We start from the raw sequence: 8,630 nt of genomic DNA on the forward strand, positions 1-8,630 counted from the left end.
GAAACTCAAGCATAACTTGCCAAAGGAATACAGTAAACAAATGGCAGTCTGAGAATTGGAATCTAGGCAGTCCCAAATGTCCTGTAATGTCTCTCAGTTCCTGCCAGTCCTGGTGTTCCTTCCATGGGAGAAGTGGTCCAGTTCTCTGTACTCCTGATAAGACCACAAATGCACATATTTCCTCATGAGACTACAGCTGGTGCTGATTCCTTTTGGAATCTCTCCCCATTGCCCTGTTTGCTGGTTTGGGTCTGGTGGTACCAGTGTTTTCTGAGCCATGCCTGAGCTTGTGAGACCCTTTGTCTACCCTCTGGGCTCTGGAGCCTGTGTCTCATGCCCTGCTCTGCACAATTCTGTCTCTTCCTTTTTCCCCTCCCTATGTCATTCCCATCAGTGTTGACTTGTTTCCCAGTTCCAATATAACTTCAGCCGGGGTCCTCTCAGTTATTAATATTTTTGTTAAATTTAATTCTACAACTACAAGGAAGATGGCTCTAGCATCCCACTAACATTTTATTTTATCATCTGGAAGGCTGGCAACACATAATAATTCAATTCAAAAGCCACAACAGTCCTTTGGCCTGTATTAATAGAGGCCATTTCATGGCTGGGAAATGCCACCACCCTTGCAGGGGAATCACAGCCATCAATGTTTGCTCATTCCATTTCTAAAGTCATCTCTGCTCTCATTTAGACCGGGGCTACTGTGTGCCAGGCACTGTGCTAGGGCTAACACTATAGGTTGCTGTTGCTCAACTACGCAGAGAGCATTGTTGTTTGACATTTTAAATGCTGTGCACAAAAGATATTCTTACTAAAAGGCACAAAGTCAGAGGCTGCATCAGGGAGGAGATAAGGTACTTAAAATGACACCTTGAGTTCAAATGGGAGCAAGTCAGAACATGCAGGCATACTTGGTTCTGTTTCATGGCTGGGCTTTGTTTATATCTGGTCTTCCAATCTGTGGCCGTGGGGCAAATAGGTGATCGGGTGTATGGGTGTGTGTGTGCATGCATGTATGTGTGTTCAGCATTTATGTAGCCGTGGTTGGCTGACATGGACGACAGATACTATTATGAATTCTTTACTGCAAGAAGGGAAGATTACACAGAGGTTGTCAAGAACCTAGCCACAGGGAAGTGGGTGTGACAAAAATCTCTGATTTATACTTCTATCACTGCAAGACAGAATTGGACAGGTATGAGGGGGATGCTGTTGGTGTGGGGATCGGCAACCAACTGTGTGTGTGTCTGGGTGCTGGTGTGTGTGCATGTATGTATATGTGTGTGTTGTGCTCAAGGGATCTCATGTGGGGGCAGCCAAATATTACCTGGGGATGGGGCCATAAAACACATTCAAATATATGACAAAGATTCTCTGCTTGGCCAAACGCCAGTTAGGCTTCTGAATCCTCTGCTAGGCCCATATGTTCACTTTCTTGTAAAATCCAGTTTTGGCAAAGAATTCTGCTACATCAGTTTAGCAAGAACCGCTATCCTCAATATCTGATCATCCTTGACATCTGATTAGGTTTCTCACCCTCCACCATTCCCCAGGTGATGTCCAATCACCCTGGCCTGTCTTTGGCAAGAATCCTGTTAGGTGGGTTTAGCCAGACTCTCCCTCACCCGTGATGTCTCCCCTTAGTAATTTTCCATCCACTGACTCCCACACTCTTCCTTGGCTATAAATTCCCACTTGCTTATGATGTGTTTGGAGTTGAGCTCAATCTTTTTCCTGACTGCAAGACCCTATTGTGGTGGTCTGTATAGCTACCTTTATGGTTCTGAATAAAGTCTTCCTTACTGTGCTTTAGTAAGTATCATTGAATAATTTTTAACAACATGTTTTTAAATCATACATAAATATAAATCATTGCTCTTGGCCCAAATATCCATTGGTAGGAAAATGGTTTAGGAAATTAGAGTTCATGACAGAATAGAATATACTTATGGAACTCATAAGGGCCCCTCTCAAACATTCCATCTCTTGTTCTTCCAGGCACACAGTAGATGAACAGTTCAGTCCCTGGAAGTTGGCTTGGCCATGTGATTTGTGTTGGCTGGTGGAAAGGAAGCTGGGGTGATGGGTGTTACTTCCAGACAGGACTCTTAAGAGGCTGTTTGTAATTTGCTGTTTCTCCTTCCTCTGCCTCAGTGATTGTGGAAGTGTGTGTCCTGATGAGGTCTGACCCCTTGGGCCTGAGGAGGAGTGACTATGATAAGCAGAGCCTTCTGCAAACCTGAGGCAGTGATGCAGAGGGAGTGAGATATGAATTTGAGTTGTGTTTAGCCCCTGAGATTTGGGGATTATGTTAACTGGAGCAAAACCTAGCCTCTACTGCCTAAGATGACCTGCAAGGACCATTATGGAAAACATTAATAGTGTGAGGCTGAACTGGAAGACAACATGCAAAAATGAAAATCACTGTTAGTTTTTTGAAAATGGGCAGTTTTCTTCAATACAGTTGCATTTTTTTCACTTATAAAAATGTTTAAAGAGGGTAAAAATCTCAAGGAGTATAAAAGAAAACAATTGGGGCGTGGAGCCAAGATGGCTGAATAGGAACAACTCCAGTCTACAGCTCCCAGCGTGAGCGACACAGAAGACAGGTGATTTCTTCATTTCCAACTGAGGTACCGGGCTCATCTCACTGGGGAGTGTTGGAAAGTGGGTGCTGGACAGTGGGTGCAGCATACCCAGTGTGAGCCAAAGCAGGGCGAGGCATCGCCTCACCCGGTAAGTGCAAGGGGTCAGGGAATTCCCTTTCCTAGTCAAAGAAAGGGGTGACAGACAGCACCTGGAAAATCGGGTCACTCCCACCCTAATACTGCACTTTTCCTACAGTCTTAGCAAACAGCACACCAGGAGATTATATCCTGTGCATGGCTCAGAGGGTCCTATGCCCATGGAGCCTGGCTCATTGCTAGCACAGCAGTCTGAGATCAAACTGCAAGGTGGCAGCGAGGCTCGGGGAGGGGCACCCACCATTGCTGAGGCTTGAGTAGGTAAACAAAGCTGCCAGGAAGCTGGAACTGGGTAAAGCCCACTGAAGCTCAAGGAGGCCTGCCTGCCTCTGTAGACTCCACCCCTGGGGGCAGGGAGTAGCCAAACAAAAGGCAGCAGAGTCCTCTGCAGACTTAAATGTCCCTGTCTGACAGCTTTGAAGAGAGTAGTGGTTCTCCCAGCACGCAGCCGGAAATATGAGAACAGACAGACTGCCTCCTTAAGTGGGTCCCTGACCCCCGAGTAGCCTAACTGGGAGGCATCCCCCAGTAGGGGCAGACTGACACCTCACACGGCCGGGTACTCCTCTGAGACGAAACTTCCAGAGGAACGATCAGGCAGCAACATTTGCTGCTCACCAATATCCGCTGTTGTGCAGCCTCTGCTGCTGATACCAAGGCAAACAGGGTCTAGAGTGGAACTCCAGCAAACTCCAAAAGACCTGCAGCTGAGGGTCCTGACTGTTAGAAGGAAAACTAACAAACAGAAAGGACATCCACACCAAAACCCTATCTGTACGTCACCATCATCAAAGACCAAAGGTAGATAAATCCACAAAGATGGGGAAAAACTAGAGCAGAAAAACCAGAAACTCGAAAAATCAGAGCACCTCTCCTCCTCCAAAGGAACCCAGCTCCTCACCAGCAATGGAACAAAGCTGGATGGAGAATGACTTTGACGAGCTGAGAGAAGAAGGCTTCACAAGATCAAACTACTCCGAGCAAAAGGAGGAAGTTTGAACCCATGGCAAAGAAGCTAAAAACCTTGAAAAAAAATTAGACAAATGGCTAACTAGAATAACCAATGCAGAGAAGTCCTTAAAGGACCTGACGGAGCTGAAAACCATGGCACGAGAACTACATGACGAATGCACAAGCCTCGTAGCTGATTCGATCAACTGGAAGAAAGGGTATCAGTGATGGAAAATCAAATGAATGAAATGAAGCGAGAAGAGAAGATTAGAGAAAAAAGAATAGAAAGAAATGAACAAAGCCTCCAAGAAATATGGGACTATGTGAAAAGACCAAATCTACATCTGATTGGTGTACCTGAAAGTGACAGGGAGAATGGAACCAAGTTGGAAAACACTCTGCAGGATATTATCCAGGAGAACTTCTCCAATCTAGCAAGGCAGGCCAACATTCAAATTCAGGAAATACAGGGAACGCCACAAAGATACTCCTTGAGAAGAGCAACTCCAAGACACATAATTGTCAGATTCACCAAAGTTGAAATGAAGGAAAAAATGTTCAGGGCAGCCAGAGAGAAAGGTCGGGTTACCCACAAAGGGAAGCCCATCAGACTAACAGCAGATCTCTCCGCAGAAACTCTACAAGCCAGAAGAGAGTGGGGGCCAATATTCAACATTCTTAAAGAAAAGAATTTTCAACCCAGAATTTCATATCCAGCCAAACTAAGCTTCATAAGTGAAGGAGAAATAAAATCCTTTATAGACAAGCAAATGCTGAGAGATTTTGTCACCACCAGGCCTGCCCTAAAAGAGCTCCTGAAGGAAGCACTGAACATGGAAAGGAATAACTGGTACCAGCCACTGCAAAAACATGCCAAATTGTAAAGACCATCGAGGCTAGGAAGAAACTGCATCAATTAACAAGCAAAATAACCAGCTAACATCATAATGACAGGATCAAATTCACATATAACAATACTAACCTTAAATGCAAATGGGCTAAATGCTCCAATTAAAAGGCACAGACTGGCAAATCGGATAAAGAGTCAAGACCCATCAGTGTGCTGTATTCAGGAAACCCATCTCATGTGCAGAGACACACATAGGCTCAAAATAAAGGGATGGAGGAAGATCTACCAAGCAAATGGAAAACAAAAAAAGGCAAGGGTTGCAATCCTAGTCTCGGATAAAACAGACTTTAAAGCAACAAAGATCAAAAGAGACAAAGAAGGCCATTACATAATGGTAAAGGGATCAATGCAACAAGAAGAGCTCACTATCCTAAATATATATGCACCCAATACAGGAGCACCCAGATTCATAAAGCGAGTCCTTAGAGACCTACAAAGAGACTTAGACTCCCACACAATAATAGTGGGAGACTTTAACACCCCACTGTCAACATTAGACAGATCAACAAGACAGAAAATTAACAAGGATATCCAAGAATTGAACTCAGCTCTGCACCAAGCAGACCTAATAGACACCTACAGAACTCTCCACCCCAAATCAACAGAATATACATTCTTTTCAGCACCACACCACACCTATTCCAAAATTGACCACATAGTTGGAAGTAGAACACTCCTCAGCAAATGTAAAAGAACAGAAATTATAACAAACTGTCTCTGAGACCACAGTGCAATCAAACTAGAACTCAGGATTAAGAAACTCACTCAAAACTGCTCAACTACATGGAAGCTGAACAACCTGCTCCTGAATGACTACTGGGTACATAACAAAATGAAGGCAGAAATAAAGATGTTCTTTGGAACCAATGAGAACAAAGACACAACATACCGGAATCTCTGGGACACATTCAAAGCAGTGTGTAGAGGGAAATTTATAGCACTAAATGCCCACAAGAGAAAACAGGAAAGATCTAAAATTGACACCCTAACATCACAATTAAAAGAACTAGAGAAGCAAGAGCAAACACATTCAAAAGCTAGCAGAAGGCAAGAAATAACTAAGATCAGAGCAGAACTGAAGGAAATAGAGACACAAAAAACCCTTCAAAAAAATCAATGAATCCAGGAGCTGGTTTTTTGAAAAGATCAACAAAATTGATAGACCGCTAGCAATACTAATAAAGAAGAAAAGAGAGAAGAATCAAATAGACACAATAAAAAATGATAAAGGGGATATCACTACCGATCCCATAGAAATACAAACTACCATCAGAGAATACTATAAACAACTCTATGCAAATAAACTAGAAAATCTAGAAGACATGGATAAATTCCTCGACACATACACCCTCCCAAGACTAAACCAGGAAGAAGTTGAATCTCTGAATAGACCAATAACAGGCTCTGAAATTGAGGCAATAATTAATAGCTTACCAACCAAAAAAACTCCAGGACCAGAAGGATTCACAGTTGAATTCTACCAGAGGTACAAGGAGGAGCTGGTACCATTCCTTCTGAAACTATTCCAATCAACAGAAAAAGAGGGAATCCTCCCTCACTCATTTTATGAGGCCAGCATCATCCTGATACCAAAGCCTGGCAGAGACACAACAAAAAAGAGAATTTTAGACCAATATCCCTGATGAACATCGATGCAAAAATCCCCAATAAAATACTGGCAAACCAAATCCAGCAGCACATCAAAAAGCTTATCCACGATGATCAAGTGGGCTTCATCCATGGGATGCAAGGCTGCTTCATCATAGGCAAATCAATAAATGTAATCCAGCATATAAACAGAACCAAGAACAAAAACCATATGGTTATCTCAATAGATGCAGAAAAAGTCCTTTGACAAAATTCAACAACCCTTCATGCTAAAAACTCTCAATAAATTAGGTATTGATGGGACATATCTCAAAATAGTAAGAGCTATCTATGACAAACCCACAGCCAATATCATACTGAATAGGCAAAAACTGGAAGCATTCCCTTTGAAAACGGGCACAAGACAGGGATGCCCTCTCTCACCACTCCTATTCAACATAGTGTTGGAAGTTCTGGCCAGGGCAATCAGGAAGGAGAAGGAAATAAAGGGCATTCAATTAGGAAAAGAGGGAGTCAAATTGTCCCTGTTTGCAGATGACATGATTGTATATCTAGAAAACCCCATCGTCTCAGCCCAAAATCTCCTTCAGCTGATAAGCAACTTCAGCAAAGTCTCAGGATACAAAATCAATGTGCAAAAATCACAAGCATTCTTATACACCAATAACAGACAAACAGAGAGCCAAATCATGAGTGAACTCCCATTCACAATTGCTTCAAAGAGAATAAAATACCTAGAATCCAACTTACAAGGGACATGAAGGACCTCTTCAAGGAGAACTACAAACCACTGCTCAAGGAAATAAAAGAGGATACAAACAAATGGAAGAACAGTCCATGCTCATGGGTAGGAAGAATCAATATCATGAAAATGGCCATACTGCCCAAGGTAATTTATAGATTCAATGTCATCCCCATCAAGCTACCAATGACTTTCTTCACAGAATTGGAAAAAACTACTTTAAAGTTCATATGGAACCAAAAAAGAGCCTGCATTGCCAAGTCAACCCTAAGCCAAAAGAACAAAGCTGGAGGCATCACACTACCTGACTTCAAACTATACTACAAGGCTACAGTAACCAAAACAGCATGGTACTGGTACCAAAACAGAGATATAGACCAATGGAACAGAACAGAGCCCTCAGAAATAATGCCGCATATCTACAACCATCTGATCTTTGACAAACCTGACAAAAACAAGAAATGGGGAAACGATTCCCTATTTAATAAATGGTGCTGGGAAAACTGGCTGGCCATATGTAGAGAGCTGAAACTAGATCCCTTCCTTACACCTTATACAAAAATTAATTCAAGATGAATTAAAGACTTAAATGTTAGACCTAAAACCATAAAAACCCTAGAAGAAAACCTAGGCAATACCATTCAGGACATAGGCATGGGCAAGGACTTCATGTCTAAAACACCAAAAGCAATGGCAACAAAAGCCAAAATTGACAAATGGGATCTTATTAAACTAAAGAGCTTCTGCACAGCAAAAGAAACTACCACTAGAGTGAACAGGCAACCTACAGAATGGGAGAAAATTTTTGCAACCTACTCATCTGACCATGGGCTAATATCCAGAATCTACAATGAACTCAAACAAATTTATAAGAAAAAAACAAACAACCCCATCAAAAAGTAGGCGAAGGATATGAACAGACACTTCTCAAAGGAAGACATTTATGCAGCCAACAGACACATGAAAAAATGCTCATCATCACTGACCAGCAGAGAATTGCAAATCAAAACCACAATGAGATACCATCTCACACCAGTTAGAATGGTGATCATTAAAAAGTCAGGAAACAACAGGTGCTGGAGAGGATGTGGAGAAATAGGAACACTTTTACACACTGTTGGTGGGACGGTAAACTAGTTCAACCATTGTGGAAGTCAGTGTGGCAATTCCTCAGGGATCCAGAAGTAGAAATACCATTTGACCCAGCCATCCCATTACTGGGTATATACCCAAAGGATTATAAATCATGCTGCTATAAAGACACATGCACACGAATATTTATTGTGGCACTATTCACAATAGCAAAGACTTGGAACCAACTCAAATGTCCAACAATGATAGACTGTATTAAGAAAATGTGGCACATATACACCATGGAATATTACGCAGCCATAAAAAAGGATGAGTTCACGTTCTTTGTAGGGACACGGATGAAGCTGGAAACCATCATTCTCAGCAAACTATCGCAAGGACAAAAAACCAAACACCACATGTTCTCACTCATAGGTGGGAATTGAACAATGAGAACACATGGACACAGGAAGCGGAACATCACACACTGGGGCCTGTTGTGGGGTGGGGGGAGGGGGGAGGGATAGTATTAGGAGATATACCTAATGTTAAATGACGAGTTAATGGGGGCAGCACACCAACATGGCACGTGTATGCATAT

The 8,630-nt window shown here is 42.5% G+C and overlaps 1 protein-coding gene across 1 annotated transcript in view; it reads right to left on the reverse strand.

The window, feature by feature from the left end:
* SCFD2 (sec1 family domain containing 2) overlaps positions 1-8,630 on the reverse strand; it is a 493,080-nt gene that overhangs the window by 94,512 nt on the left and 389,938 nt on the right. The gene's annotated exons all lie outside the window — the stretch shown is intronic.

The sequence above is a fragment of the Homo sapiens genome, chromosome 4 (genome assembly GCF_000001405.40).
Source record: "Homo sapiens chromosome 4, GRCh38.p14 Primary Assembly".
In the NCBI taxonomy this organism is placed as follows: domain Eukaryota; kingdom Metazoa; phylum Chordata; class Mammalia; order Primates; family Hominidae; genus Homo; species Homo sapiens.